Raw genomic sequence first — 13,420 nt, forward strand, 5'->3', positions numbered from 1 at the left:
TTTTTTTTTTTTTTTGAGACGGAGTCTCGCTCTGGAGTGCAATGGCGCGATCTCGGCTCACTGCAACCTCTGCCTCCTGGGTTCAAGCGATTCTCCTGCCTCAGCCACCTGAGTAGCTGGGATTATAGGCACGCACCACCACGCCTAGCTAATTTTTGCATTTTTAGTAGAGACGAGGTTTCACCATGTTGGTCAGGCTCTTCTCGAACTCCTGACCTCATGATCCACCCACCTCGGCCTCCCAAAGTGCGGGGATTACAGGCATGAGCCACCGCACCCGGCCTAAAAACATTTTTTTTTCATTTATTTATTTATTTTTTTTGAGACAAAGTCTCGCTCTGTTGCCCAGGCTGGAGTGCAGTGGCGCAATCTCGGCTCACTGCAAGCTCCGCCTCGCAGGTTCACACCATTCTCCTGCCTCAGCCTCCCGAGTAGCTGGGACTACAGGTGCCCGCCAGCACACCCAGCTAATTTTTTTGTATTTTTAGTAGAGACAGGGTTTCAGCATGTTAGCCAGGATAGTCTTGATCTCCTGACCTCGTGATCTGCCCACCTTGGCCTCCCAAAGTGCTGGGATTACAGGCATGAGCCACCATGCCCGGCCAACAAAAAAAATTTTTTAAAAAAGACCTAGGGGGCTCTTCCCAGGATACCCCTCCCACCATACACCTCCAAAATTGCCAGGACAAAGGTTCAAAAGTGTTCTGTTTAATACGCTTTGTCTGGTAGTGCTTGGGTGCCTGTGGTTGGTTTCTCTCACTGGAACCAGTCCTGGGCCCCACTCGCCTGGCTTCCTCCAGTCGCCCCAGGTCCTGGGGCTGGTGTGTCAGAAGCTGCCTTTGTCCTCTCCATTCATCCATCCTTGGGCCTGTCTGGCCTATGATGCCCTCATTCAGCTCTCAGGGTCCAGAGGTGACTGGTGTGGATCCTGCTCGCTGTGCCAAGATGGCCCTCCAGATGCGGCATACCATCCCTCCCCTGGGGGTAATGGACTCAGTGTGGCTCAGCCAGAAGGTGGCCCTGGACTCTATCTTGCACACACTGTCTGCCCAGTGCCCCCTCTGTCCCTAGGGGACCCAGGTGCCCCTTTGGTTTCCAGGAAGGAACCTAGGCAGGCCTGCAGTTGGCCAGGATGAGGCCATATGCATGGTTCACACTTGGGGGGCCCAGGATGTACCTGATGCGGGTGTAGATGAGGTCATCTCGAGTGGCATAGGTGAGCAGAGTGTGGAGGGTGAAGCTATGGTTCAACAGCTGGATGTGGTCAAAGACCCGCAGAAAGAGGGAAATAAGAAATTACAGAAAGATGTGTCGAGACCCAGGTACTAGCTCTGCTCTGTTGCCAAAATAATGAGGCAGATCACACCCTTCTGGGCCTCAGTTTTCTCATCCATACAATGGGACGAGAATACTAAGTGTTCTTCTGGTAGTGAGATTCTCTGCATCAGAGGGCACAGTAGAAGAGCAGGAAGATGGACAGAGATGGAGGCTTTGGCTGGTGAGGTCAGGGATAGCCAAGCACTCCCCGACTCACCATTTGGATGGTGCCTGAATCCACATTCAGTTCCTGTAGCCACTGCACCAGGCCCTGGTCCGTTGAAAGAGCAGCTGTCAAGAAGCAGTCAGGTGATGAGCCCAAGAGTGCCTCCTGCTAGAAGCTGCCTCGAACCCACCAATAGTGTTCTCCAGCCAAGGCCCACTCAGGTGATGAGCCCAAGTCAGGTGATGAGCCCAAGGGTGCCTTGTGCTAGAAGCTGCCTCGAACCCACCAATAATGTTCTCCCGCCAAGGCCCGCTCAGGTGATGAGCCCAAGTCAGGTGATGAGCCCAAGGGTGCCTTGTGCTAGAAGCTGCCTTGAACCCACCAATAATGTTCTCCAGCCAAGGCCCACTCACTTGGAGGCTCTGGGGCCAGGACATAGGTCCGGGCTTCCTCATTCAGCCGCTGTAGAGCCCGCTGCACCAGGGCCTGGTACTCCCGTTCCTTCCCCGCCAGGATTTCGCGCAGCCTGTGGGGCGCAGAAGAGTAGAATGGAGCGGTGAGTGGTGAGTGGGTTGAAGCCCGGCAGAGGCTATGAGCGATTCCAAGGGGCTTTACCGATCAGTCTCTGCCCTCAAGAGGCTCAGCTGCACCATCAGAGGAGCGGGGCCCTGCTCGGGCTCCACCGGAAGCGGGCTCTGCTGGCCTGGGCTCTGCTGGGAGTCCCCTTCATTACTCAGCTCCTCTGACCTCGGTGAGACCGCCTCCTTCTCCACCTCTGCAGCCCAGTGCGGTGAACTCAGGCAAGGCTACAACGCCCGTTTGGGAACCCCAGACCCCAAAGTGCGGGGGTAGGGTGCCCGGCTCTGGGCAGGCCCCAGGCGGTGCCGGTATGGGAGATGTCCATTTAGTCACGCCCCCACCGGCGCCTGCCTGCCCCTGTCCCGCCTGGCCCCCACCGGCCCCATTCGATGTTCACCGCGCCCAGCAAGCACCACACCCTCGCTGGCAGGAGGCCCGTGGCATTCCCCTCCTACCCGGTCCTAGCACACCCAGGGCTGCCCGCACAGCACGGCTGAGCAGTGAGTCCAGAACGAACATCCAGTGTGGACGGATCTGGCGCTTGCGGAGGATCTGCTTCACCTGCAGGGGGAGGGAGGCGCCGCTGAGACAGCTGAGCCTCAACTAGAGGCAGGGCTTGAGTTGGAAAGGCCTAGAAAGTCTTCGGCGGGAGGCGAGTGGGGTGGGCGGGCTTGAGGTCCAGGGAAGGCCTGGGAAGCTAGGACTGGGCAGACGGTTTTTTGCTGCAGGCCTGATCTTCACAGAGGAGACAGGGAATCTGGGAACGTCAAGTCCTGGCACCTCACCAGGCACGGGGAACTCACTACCTGTTGTTGGGCAGCTCTAACTACCAGAAGGCGCCCTCACCGCATCCGGGAAGGCAAACAGCGGTCTGTGCAGAAGCGCAGGCCCAAGGCCCTGGGCCCTCAGCCGTCCTTGCAGCGCCCGCAGCTCCTGGGCGAGCTGCCGGCGGTTGGGAGTGTGGATGTGTGCCCCGAGGCAGCGCAGCAGCTCTTCCACATGGTTTCTGCCCAGACGGGCCCCCTGAGAAGGAAGAGAGGGGTTGTCAGCGAGTGCTCCAGCCAAAAGAGACGCTGCCGCGGAGGTAGGGGGCGGGGACATCAACAGGTGTCCTGACCCTTTGCGACCACCAGGGGGCGCTAGAGTGGGCCGCCCACCTGCTCTTGCTTCTGCTCCTGGTGCAGATTCTCCGCCAGCGCTGGCAGCTCCTGCTCCAATACTGCGGCCAGCATGGCCCGACGCTTGCTCTCCTGGTGCAGCAGGCTCAGCCCCGAACTCTCCTCCGGAGACGCAGGCTCCTCGGCCGCAGGCTCCTCGGGCACCCTGGGCACAAGGGCGAGCTGCTGATTGAGGACGGGCAGCAACCGGCCAGTCACCTCTGTTGCCGGGTTTGAATCCTGGCTCTCCTACTTTTATGCCTACCTCACAGGCATGAACATAGATAAACCCCGCACTGAGAGGACACAACAAGTCCAAGTTAGAGTTGCCAGAACAGGGCATGGGGAGGCACCAAATGCCACATTCACAAGTGGTCAAGGTGCCCAGGTCCCCAGGGAGGGCTTTTGTAGGAGAGGAGAAAAAGGCAAAACCAGGCAAAAGGAACCCATCCCAGGAGCCTTGGTCTCACCGGAGCTGGCTGGTGCCCCCATAACTGAGGCAGCGCTTCGGGGGGCTGGGTGGGTGCTGAGAGGGTGCCTGAGGGCACGGGAATGTCTGAGACTGGGTGGTTGAGTTGGCTGAAGGAGTGGGACTGGCAGAAGGGGCATCTGAGGGAGGGACAGAGCCATCAGCTGGGCTCTCCTCCACCCTCACAGCTCCACAACTCCTCTGCCCTCCACTGTGCCCATCCCGCCACCCGCAAGCACCTGAGGGCCGTGGAGCATGTCGTGGGGAGCTGGGGCTGCGGCTCCTTTTCCCAGGCTGCAGGAAGGGGTCCCCCAGCAGTGTCTGGGCGCTGGCTCGGAGGCGGGGGTCTGGCTCAAAAGTTCGGAGGAGAAAGGCTTGGGCCTCGGCCGACAGAGAGCTGGGCATTGGCGGATGGACCTTGTACATACCCACCTGTGGGGGGAGGGTGAACAAGGGTGACATTCAGAGGTGTCCAAGGCCCAGGCTGGCCCTATGCCACTTCCATGGGCCAGGCCCAAAGAGGTCTCACCTGAAACATGGCAGCCTGTGGGCTCCCGAGCTCGTGGAAGGGGGGGCGACCTGTGGCCATCTCAATGACAGTGCAGCCCAGTGACCAGATGTCAGCTGCTTTCCCATACCCGCGTGGGCCCTGGTCAATGATTTCTGGGGCCATATACTGCAGAGTTCCTAGGACAGAAACAGGAGCACCAATGCCCATCTAGGCTTCATCATGGGGTTGGAGCAGGGAGGGGAATGCCGTCATCCTCAGGCCGACTGCACCCATACTGAACCTATCATCCAAAATATACCTCAACACCTATCCTGGTCATCAAACATCTATCCTGAGTTCCATCACCACCCTGGGCTCCATCGCCTGCCAAGGCTTCCGTCATTCATCCTGGGCTCCACCACATTCACAGACTCCATCACCCACAGTAGTGCTCCAGCACACATCCTGGATTGCCTCGTCCCCCTGAACTCCATCACCTGCTTTTTCCTCCAACTCCCACCTTGGCCTGCATCAACACTCCTCAAGTGCTAAAGTCAATTTCATCACTTCTCCAAGCTCCAGTTCCAGATGCCACCACCTCAGCCCTGGCCCAATCACTCACCCTGGGTTTCATTCCCCATTAGGACTCTAACTCCATGCCTAGGAGAAACCCCCTTCCCTGGAAAGTTCCAAGAGATCTTCTGCCCCAGGTCAGCATCCCCACTCACCACCCCCACACCTTGTTACCTGTGAAGGTCTCAGTGCAAGGTGTGATGCCTGCCAGCCGCTTGGAGGTGCCGAAGTCAGAAATCTTGAGCAGCCCACTGAAGGTGTTGATCAGCACATTGTCCCCCTGATTGACAGCCATTAGTGGACACTGGTCTGGGCCCCTGCCAGCAGAAGTAGACCCTCTTTCTGGGATCCCATCTCCTGGAGATCCCAGCCTGGTCCTGCCTCTGTCAACACTCTCCCCTTGCCATCCCACTTATATGCCCCTCTGGGAGCTGACAATTGGTTTGGCTTCAGAGCTGAACCTTTCCCCTCCTTCTCTAAGGAGCCTCCCTGATGAATTCCCTACCCTTTGCAACAGGTCTGCTCACTTAATCTAAACTGCCAGCCTGCGTCTGGGACCATGTTTCCTTCCCCGCCACCCTCAGCAGATGAGGGCGGGCCAGCCCCAGGGCTTACTTTTATGTCCCTGTGCACGATGTGGTTGTCGTGCAAGTAGCCAAGTCCCTGCAGGATCTGGCGGGTGTAGAAACTGATGGTGCTCTCGTTGTCCTTCAGGGGTCCCCACACCGACCGCAGCAAGGAGGACAGGCTGCCTGGGTGGGGACAGTCCAAGTTCATTCTTCCCACCCACTGGCTCCAGCCCACATCTCTCTGCTCAAGGCCCAGACACACCCATGTTGTAGCCCAACTCCATCACCCAGCGCCACTCCTCAGCTAATTCTAGGCTACACCACCCACACGCACTAGGGTGCATTTCCCCCTAGGGCTCTCTACCCCTGCCTGCCTCGGTCCCATGCTTCACACCTCGGTTTCATTCCCATCCCACACAGGGCAGGTACCTCCAGGCACTTCCTCCATGAAGATCTTAAGGTAGCCGCCCTGGCTAGCTGAGCCCAGATAGCGCACTATGTTCTTGTGGCGCAGGCGTCTGTGAAGAGCGATCTCTTCATGCAGGGGCTGAGAGAACCTGAGGGGAGGTAAGGGAGAGAGGAAAGGGACCGAGGTGGGCAGAGAAGCCCCGCCCATCCCACGCCAGCCTGGCCCCGCCCCAAGGACCCGCCCCGCCCACAAGCCCTCTCCGACCTTCCCCACCCTTACTACCCTGCCCACAGGACCCTCCAGACCTCAATCCCGCCCGCACGGTCCTGGCTGTTCCGCCCACGGGCCCAGTCCACAGGGCTCGAACTCTCAGGTCCTACGAGCCCGCCCACTAGGCCCCGCCCACAGGAGCCGCTCCGCTCGTGGCCCGGCTCACTCGGCCCTCGCGAGCCCTCAGCCCCACCCGCGCTGCCACGCACCGCACCTGCTGTCCCGCTCCGGGATCTCCTTGATGGCGATGCGCACCCTCGTGTGGCGATCGCGGCCCGCGTACACCACCCCATACGTGCCCTTGCCCAGCACCAGCCGCTCGCCCGTCTCCGTGTACTCATAATCAAACTGCCGGGCGCGGGGTGAGATGGGAGTTCAGCAGGGCCCGCGGCCCCTCGCCCTCCGCGAGCTCCCAGTCCCGCGTCCTCACCTCCAACATCTCCCCCGCGCCCTCCGCCTCCTCCGCGGGCGCCGTGGAATCCGGGTTCGTCACCCAGGCCTGGATCAGGCCGCAGAACCTGAAGGTGGGGGAGGTCAGACCCGCGGGAGGGGCATCTTGGTCCCCACCTAAGCCGGAGCATCCAACGGACGTCGTCCCTTTCTTTCCCCCACTCCCCCCCGGGCATCCTGGCCCTCAGAGTACCCCGACCATGAAAGGCTGCGCACCACTGGCAGTGCCCTACGCTGGGGAAGCACAGCTGGACGTCCTGAGCCGGGGGGAGTGCATAGAGGAAGCAGCAGCGCTCGTCGCGCTTTGAGGCGCTGGGAAGGGATGAAGAACCCAGTAAGCGTCAGGCTGGGTGGCAGCGACCCTCACCTCCCGTCTTTCCAGTCACCCCAGGTCCCGCCTATCACCTGACTCCGCATATGGAGGCGACTGGGAAGGTCCAGCTGGAGGGAATGTCCTGCAAGAAGAAATGGGGTGTGATGGGGAGTGCTGGTGACAGGAGAGGGGTCTGAGGATGGGAGAAAGGCTCCACAGAAAAGGTCCTAGCAAAGGTGAGTGAGGGGCCTCAGCAGCGACTTCACCTGGGTCTCAGGCTCCAGCAGGCTCAGGGTCACTGTGCTTACTGGGTCAGTACCCCGAACCTCGAGCTTTGCAGGCAGCAGCACCTTGTTCATCTCCAGGACCAGCACCTGCAGGCAGTTGGGGAGTGGGGTCAGTCAGAAGGGGCTTACCCCTTTCCCGGGTCCACCACCCCTACAGGCCTCACCAAGCACTGGTCGCCCTGGGCACAGGCTGTCTTGAATGGTTGGCAGGACTGTAGCAAGAAGTGGAGCCAGAAGTGGGCACGGCGTGGTGGCCCTCCAGGGGGCTCTGGCGTGGGCCTGAAGTGCTGGTAGAGCAGGAAGGTCTCCATCACGGACACCAGGTACCTGCATGCAAAGCCACATCCTCAGTTCAGCCCAGGCACCAACCAGCACTGCCAGGGAGAGGAAACTGGCCTGGATATAGCTAGAACGTTGGCATGGGGTGCCACGGGCACTGGTCTAAAAGCAGCCAGGTCATTGGCTCAGGGTTCAGTCTAGCATGCCAATGGACATAGGTGCAGGAGCTGACAGCCCAGGTCAGGCCAAGAATGCAGAGGGGGCCACCTACCATATGGGGGCATTGAGCTTATACAGCTGCTCTGCAGCCAGCACCACCTGGGTGGGGTCATTGGCGAGGATCTGGGCTCCCAGGTAGAAACCCACATCCCAGTAATACTGCATCTTCTCCACGCAGCCTTTGCGGGCCAGCAGGCAGCCCAGCTTCATGCCTGGGGGAGAGAGGCATGGGCTCCAGTGAGTGTGGGTGCAGGGGTGAGTGAGGCCCACCATTTCTGTGGGCCCGAGTGTGGACATGAACATAGATATGAGTATGGCATTGAGTATGGCAAGATCTCGGGTGGGAACAGGAGCTCAGGCACAGGTATATGTGGAATTCAGGATGTAATGGACACGCAGATGTGAGTTTGGGAACATTTGTGGGTTTGAGGGCTCCTGAGGGCCCAGAACAGGTATGAGGACCCAGGTGTGGGTATGGGCAGGACAGTCCAAAATGGATGAGCTCATCCTAGCTCTTGCCCAGTGTGCTCTCTCCCTGCCCTCTTCCCAGGCCCCTCGGAACCCCTGTGGGTGACGAGACAAGAGCCAGGATCTGTGCTCACCTATTAGCCGGAGCTCTTTGGAATCCTCAAAGTGCTGCCCGGCAGCAATGAGGAGCACAGCTGCATTGATGCCTGAGTGAAGGCTGGGCTCTACGTCAAAAGCCTTGCGATACCTGGGGTGGGGGTAGGGGGCACAGGGCTGGACTGATGCCCACAGCACCACCCCTCATCTCACAGCTTAGCCCACCGGCCACTCACTGTGCTCTTTACCAGTGATAGGCCTGCTCCCGGTGCCCAGCATCCTGGAAACCCGAGCTGAAGAACATGTCCTTGTAGATACGGCCACACATGCAGTACAGATCGGGCGCCACAGAGCCCTCAAGCTGTACCAGCGGCAGCAGCACAGACAGGGCCTTCGCCCGGTCCCCAGGCCTGTTCCTCCTAGGGAAAAGATGGGCTCAGGCCCTCCCTGATGGCCCTGGCCTACTCTGTCCAGGGACCTCTAGACACTGAACCAGCAGGGACCCTTCCAGGGGCCTGACAATAATGACCTCAAAATGATAATGACCCTGGCCAGCACTGACCTCTCTAGTGACCTCAGATGGAAGTGATTCCTAGATGCGATGACTCTTAGGAGCAGTGATCTTGGACAGCGGTGACCATACCACAGGCAGCACCACCTCCCCCACCCCGACCCAGGCAGCAGTAACTCAGAACAACAGGGACCTATTGACATCAGTGACCCCGGTCAGCAAATTCCCCGAACAGCAGTGATCCCAGACAGCAATGGCTTTGCACGCAGAGACCTAGGTTTCGGAAACCTTTATGTGGCTATGACCTAACCCTTGCTCTGCCACTCACCGGTTGAGGGCAAAAGTGTAGTGGAAGCAGACATTATGCTGCTCGGCCACATCACAGGTGGGCAAGGCCTGCAGCGTCTCCACCAGCTCAATGATGGCCGAGTAGTCCTGCATCAGGGAACGGCAAGCACTGGCATCATGGGCCTCCAGGCCCCAAGGAACCTTGAGCCAGGGTCCTGTCCCACTCCTGACATCCCACCCAGCCACCATCTTCTGCACGCCTCCCTCAGGCCCAGCGGACACACCTCACAGGGAGAACCTACTGTATGCCCCATGCTGGGCGTTCCCAACCCCACAACTGCCCCAGGAGGCAGCGACATGCTCATCCTCTCTAACAAATAAGGAGGCCAACACTCAGAGACATTGGATAATTTGCCCAAAGCCACCAGTGAGCAAGTGGCCCAGCCAGGAACTGAACTTGGGTTTGTCTGACCTCAAATGCCAGCTGCCCTACTGCCTCTCTGAACACCACGCACCTGCACATCGCGGTAGGAGAGCAGCAAGTTCATGATGATGTCGGGGCTCAGCAGCTCCACGCTGTCCAGTCTCCGCTGCAGGCGAGCCAGCTCCTGCCGCAGCTGTGGCCCACTGAACCGCTCCCGCGCCTGCCGGATGTCCCGCCGAATGGTCTCCCGGAAATAGCCACTGATGCCCAGGGTAGGGGAGGCAGGGAGAGAGAATGGTGGGGCCTGTACCTCAGCCCCAGCCCACCATACCCTCACCAGCCCCCTCCTGGAGCACCCTCCCTGGGGGCCTTCATTACCAAGAGTCTGTGGGTGTGGCCTCCAGCAGGCGGGCAAGCCGGCCCACCAGGGGAGTGAGCAGGGCCTCGGTCCCCACTCCAGCCTGTACCAGCCCATCAGCCAGGCCCCGCAGAAGGCCTGCATCACCACACAGCACCCGACCAGTGGCCGTCACCACATAGGGGATCAGTGTGTAGCTGCCAACGCAATCCTGGTGGGAGGGAGGCAGGAATCAGTGAGGTCAGAGGTCAGCACAGGGCTAGACAAGGGGAGTGAGAGCATCAAAGGTCAGCATCAGTGGGAATTGGAATCGCAGGAAAGGGGCACCCGTCATGAGAGGAGGCAACAGGAAACAGAGGAATACTTGGGATGTCAGTGGGGGGTTAGGTGACTGAGGAGGCCAGGGGGATTAGTGGAGGTCAGAGGTCATAGCGGAAGTCAAAGGGCACTTTTGAGTGAGAGGTGGATTCTGCTCACCGAGTTCTTCTGGAAAACATCCTCCTGCAGGAGGCAGACAGTCAGATACTGGTGTTCTGTGTAGGCCTTACCCCAGCCCTGTGCCTGCCTCCACCAGCCCCAGGCCACCTACCCGCAGGGCCTGCAGGTCAGGGAGGTCGGCCTGGGAGCAGAGGAGCACATTGTTGGTCATGCTGAAGCTCTCACGCACACCAAGGTGGTAGAACAGGGAGGGCTGTACCAGCGAGCTGCTCACCTCCAGCACCACCACATCTGCAGGCACAGAGGGGGTGGCGCTGATCCCTGAAGCCCAGCTTGATGGGGAAGGAGCCGGGGTCCATCCTGGCTTGACCTGCCTTGCTGTGGGACTCCAGTAGGGTCTGGTTCTGCTTTGGGCTTCAGTCGGCCCTTTTTAGGGTTCCCCTGGCACTTTCACAGAACTGATCTCTGTAGTGTTGCAGGAGAGGAGTTGGGCTCACTGGGTTGGGACCCTCAGGCCACGGTTCAGAGCCTGTGAGCACCTGGCATGGGGGAAGGGAGGCTGTGGACCAGTTGAGTCTGTTACGGGCCATTTAGGAGGTGGGAGTTGCGCAAACATAGAAGTCCCCTCCCTTTGGTCTTCAGCACAGGCTCTTGAAAGGGGCTACCATCAGTGTGCATAGACAACGCTGTGCCTAAATGTATGTATGTGTATATCTGTGACATGTATAGCTTACTATGTCTGACTGTATCTGTGTGTGTGACAGCGTCTGCTAGGGCCTGCATGAGTCAACATGTATGCGATTTGTGTCTGTCGATAATTGTATCTTTGTGTCCGAGTGGTCGGGTCAGCCTTCATTTTAGGCTACGATTTCATGGACATCCAGGAAGCACAGCTACTGGACTCTAGCATAAGCAAGTAAGTATGGGGGCCGAGCATCCGGGCTGGCTGGAGGGAGGAGTGACTCGCGGGGGAATAGCCTCCTTCTGGCCCCGCCCCTGAGCCATCCTTTCCCGCCCACTTCCCCGCCCCTTCCCCGCCCATTCTTTCTGGGCCGCTGAGGCCACTTAACCTAAGCTCCCTCACCCAGTATCCAGTCCCGTCGGGCCCCTTCGCTTCTCTTTTTGCCTCTCCTAGCCCGATCCTTGGAAATAGTATGCTAGGACTCCTGAACTCCAGCCTCCCGGCCCCTTTCCCTAAGTCCAAGCTCCTCTCCCAGTAATTGTCCTCAAGAGATCCGCGTGACATTCTCCTGAGGGTGAGGCTGAGTTCTCCAACCCCACCCCTGAGACACCACAGCCCCGCGCCGCTCCCCGCCCCGCCCCAGAGTTCCAAAGCCCCTCCCCATCCTTGCCCCGCTGGCTGGGCACCGCTCCGACTGAAGGGTGCCTAAGCCCCAACCTCGAGCCCTAGAGCCGCGCCCGGATCCCTGTCTCGTCCCGAGCCCGGCCGCGCCCCAGATCCCCTAAATCCCACTTTTTTCACGGCCCTGTCCCAAGCCCTTCAGCTTTAGCTCACTTTAAGTCCCCTAGACCCGGTACCCCTCTCGGCCCCTCCCTTGAGCCTTCGAGCCCGGCTTGGTCCCCTCCCAGGACCCTGAGTCCCGCCCGGATCCGGCCCCGCCCCCAGCGCTCTCACCCGCGTTGTAGAAGGCATCCAGAGCCGCGGTGTCGCCTAGCTCCAGCGTCCCGAAGGGCAGGCTGCGCAGCTGCGGGGGCGGCCGCGGCCGGGGGACCTGCGCGCAAGCCTCGCGCAGGCAGCGCAGGGGCAGCGGCTCCGCCTCGGTTCCCTCCCGAGGCTCGAGCCCGGGCTGCGGCTCCCGGGTCAGCACGTAGACCACGCTGAGCGGCCGGCTCCGCGCGCAGCCCCGGCCCGGGGGCGCCGCGAGCTGCCGGCCCCGGCTCAGCGCCACGGCCAGCGGGTCCTGCCAGCAGCTGCCGGCGCGCTCCGCCCCGGACCGGGGACACGGCCCCGCCATGCGGGGGCGCTCAGGCGCGGGGCGCCGCGCACTGGGAACCGGGGGCGGGGCAGGAGCCTGGGCCGGCAGATCAGGAATCTTGGGATCTGGAATCCGTTCGGAATCGGAGAATCTCCCACGGGATCTAGGGATCCGGAATACGGCCTGACGTCCCGTTCCAGGAATCTAAAGTCCAGGGAGAAATCCTAGCTCGGACTTGCAAGGTCCTGAGGTTCTGAAATCCGGGATTGGGTCCCAGGAATCTGGGGCATCCGGTGATCGGCAGCTCAGAGCCACTTGGGGGATCCTGGGAATCGGCTCGGAGGTGCCCGCCACCTGGACTTCTCAAGGGAGCGCCCGCCAACGCTGCCCTGCCTTCACTTGTAGGCTAAGCCCAGCCCTTTCCCGGCCGACCCAGAAAGCTCCACCCTCGGCCCTGGGGCAGAGCCGCTCCCTAGCGGCTTGAGACTCAGCCTCTCCCCTCCCTTCTCTCCCGCCAGAACTTTGGAGACTGGCGGCTTCCGGAACAGCCTGTGCCCCTGTGCACGCCAAAGACTGTGGACTGCTCACAGCAAGTGCACATAAAATGTGTGAGGAGGCCAGGGCTAGGGAAAAGGTTCGATATGCAGGCCCTGCTCTGCAGGTATCTGTTGAATGAATGGCTCTCTAGAGACATCAGGGTGCGCAGAGCATGATGAACAATGGGTGTCCTCCCGGGCCCAGTGAGCGCAGGCAGGGAGGGACTGGGATGGGGGAAACCTACACCCTAGGCCGCTTGCCCGAAAGCCTTCAGTCCTGGAGTGGGACTTGGCATCTGAGCCTTAACTGTCACTAGGGGGCTGCTTTCCCCAGGACCCAACCTGCTGTGGACCCCCGCTGACCTTTGACTTCTAGGCAGAACGTGGCCATGGGACCTGAGAAGCACTTCCTACTCTAAACAACTCTAAACATTTCTTTAGCCACCCCTTGAAGGAGTCAACCCCAGCCCTTTGCACTACAGCAGCTTCTCAGCTTCAAATCCCCAAGAGTCCCCAACTTTCTTGTGTGAATTAATGAGTGAGGCAGCAACCTGGTAGAAGCCTCAGTGGACCCTGAAACCAAGAACTGGGGACTTAAGTTGAATAACTTGTCCAGGATCACTCAGCACATGACAGCAGGGTGCAAACCCAGGACCGCCTGTCAGACTCTTAACTATTTAATTCTGCCACTTACTAGAATGTGGCTTTGGGCAAATAAACTGCTTAAATGCTACTCAATGGCTGTTTCATTGCCCTGTTGCCTTGTGGAAGAAAAAGGTACCTTCCTTGGTTTGACCTTGGATTCGAACTGACACCC

At 59.9% G+C, this 13,420-nt stretch overlaps 1 protein-coding gene across 6 annotated transcripts, besides 10 other annotated features; it reads right to left on the minus strand.

The window, feature by feature from the left end:
• On the minus strand, positions 693–12,470 carry MAP3K6 (mitogen-activated protein kinase kinase kinase 6). 6 transcript variants are annotated; one of them, XM_047433689.1, is made up of 30 exons: positions 11,767–12,470; positions 10,405–10,421; positions 10,282–10,311; positions 10,170–10,193; positions 9,713–9,903; positions 9,426–9,594; positions 8,951–9,057; positions 8,360–8,530; positions 8,150–8,262; positions 7,600–7,759; positions 7,214–7,376; positions 7,029–7,136; positions 6,855–6,904; positions 6,666–6,761; positions 6,430–6,517; positions 6,214–6,347; positions 5,750–5,877; positions 5,367–5,503; positions 4,926–5,031; positions 4,218–4,375; positions 3,928–4,120; positions 3,690–3,828; positions 3,220–3,385; positions 2,909–3,085; positions 2,518–2,623; positions 2,099–2,258; positions 1,897–2,009; positions 1,535–1,608; positions 1,178–1,254; positions 693–978 (listed from the first exon to the last, which is right to left on the minus strand). In XM_047433689.1, exons 1-30 carry the CDS (start codon positions 12,104–12,106, stop codon positions 900–902), a joined length of 3,774 nt encoding a protein of 1,257 aa, XP_047289645.1. In that variant the 5' UTR covers positions 12,107–12,470; the 3' UTR covers positions 693–899. The 6 variants fall into 6 exon arrangements, with proteins under 6 accessions (XP_047289645.1, NP_004663.3, NP_001284538.1 ...); NM_004672.5 differs by having other exon boundaries at positions 10,282–10,421; NM_001297609.2 differs by lacking the exon at positions 10,170–10,193 and having other exon boundaries at positions 10,282–10,421.
• Positions 4,963–5,498: an enhancer, noted in NCBI's record as "H3K4me1 hESC enhancer chr1:27685945-27686480 (GRCh37/hg19 assembly coordinates)". NCBI's record gives its function as "activates a minimal SCP1, AML or CMV promoter by ChIP-STARR-seq in naive H9 embryonic stem cells {active_cell/tissue: H9 hESC(naive)}" and the evidence as "EXISTENCE:reporter gene assay evidence [ECO:0000049][PMID:30033119]".
• Positions 5,499–6,034: an enhancer, noted in NCBI's record as "H3K4me1 hESC enhancer chr1:27686481-27687016 (GRCh37/hg19 assembly coordinates)". NCBI's record gives its function as "activates a minimal SCP1, AML or CMV promoter by ChIP-STARR-seq in naive H9 embryonic stem cells {active_cell/tissue: H9 hESC(naive)}" and the evidence as "EXISTENCE:reporter gene assay evidence [ECO:0000049][PMID:30033119]".
• Positions 6,129–6,258: an enhancer, noted in NCBI's record as "active region_546". NCBI's record gives its function as "activates an Ori minimal core promoter by ATAC-STARR-seq in GM12878 lymphoblastoid cells {active_cell/tissue: GM12878}" and the evidence as "EXISTENCE:reporter gene assay evidence [ECO:0000049][PMID:35858748]".
• Positions 6,349–6,418: a silencer, noted in NCBI's record as "silent region_510". NCBI's record gives its function as "represses an Ori minimal core promoter by ATAC-STARR-seq in GM12878 lymphoblastoid cells {active_cell/tissue: GM12878}" and the evidence as "EXISTENCE:reporter gene assay evidence [ECO:0000049][PMID:35858748]".
• Positions 11,059–11,128: a silencer, noted in NCBI's record as "silent region_511". NCBI's record gives its function as "represses an Ori minimal core promoter by ATAC-STARR-seq in GM12878 lymphoblastoid cells {active_cell/tissue: GM12878}" and the evidence as "EXISTENCE:reporter gene assay evidence [ECO:0000049][PMID:35858748]".
• Positions 11,451–12,394: an enhancer, noted in NCBI's record as "H3K27ac-H3K4me1 hESC enhancer chr1:27692433-27693376 (GRCh37/hg19 assembly coordinates)". NCBI's record gives its function as "activates a minimal SCP1, AML or CMV promoter by ChIP-STARR-seq in naive H9 embryonic stem cells {active_cell/tissue: H9 hESC(naive)}" and the evidence as "EXISTENCE:reporter gene assay evidence [ECO:0000049][PMID:30033119]".
• Positions 11,719–11,768: a silencer, noted in NCBI's record as "silent region_512". NCBI's record gives its function as "represses an Ori minimal core promoter by ATAC-STARR-seq in GM12878 lymphoblastoid cells {active_cell/tissue: GM12878}" and the evidence as "EXISTENCE:reporter gene assay evidence [ECO:0000049][PMID:35858748]".
• Positions 11,839–12,058: a silencer, noted in NCBI's record as "silent region_513". NCBI's record gives its function as "represses an Ori minimal core promoter by ATAC-STARR-seq in GM12878 lymphoblastoid cells {active_cell/tissue: GM12878}" and the evidence as "EXISTENCE:reporter gene assay evidence [ECO:0000049][PMID:35858748]".
• Positions 12,089–12,198: a silencer, noted in NCBI's record as "silent region_514". NCBI's record gives its function as "represses an Ori minimal core promoter by ATAC-STARR-seq in GM12878 lymphoblastoid cells {active_cell/tissue: GM12878}" and the evidence as "EXISTENCE:reporter gene assay evidence [ECO:0000049][PMID:35858748]".
• Positions 12,395–13,336: an enhancer, noted in NCBI's record as "H3K27ac-H3K4me1 hESC enhancer chr1:27693377-27694318 (GRCh37/hg19 assembly coordinates)". NCBI's record gives its function as "activates a minimal SCP1, AML or CMV promoter by ChIP-STARR-seq in primed H9 embryonic stem cells {active_cell/tissue: H9 hESC(primed)}" and the evidence as "EXISTENCE:reporter gene assay evidence [ECO:0000049][PMID:30033119]".

The sequence above is a fragment of the Homo sapiens genome, chromosome 1 (genome assembly GCF_000001405.40).
Source record: "Homo sapiens chromosome 1, GRCh38.p14 Primary Assembly".
Taxonomy (NCBI): Eukaryota; Metazoa; Chordata; class Mammalia; order Primates; family Hominidae; genus Homo; species Homo sapiens.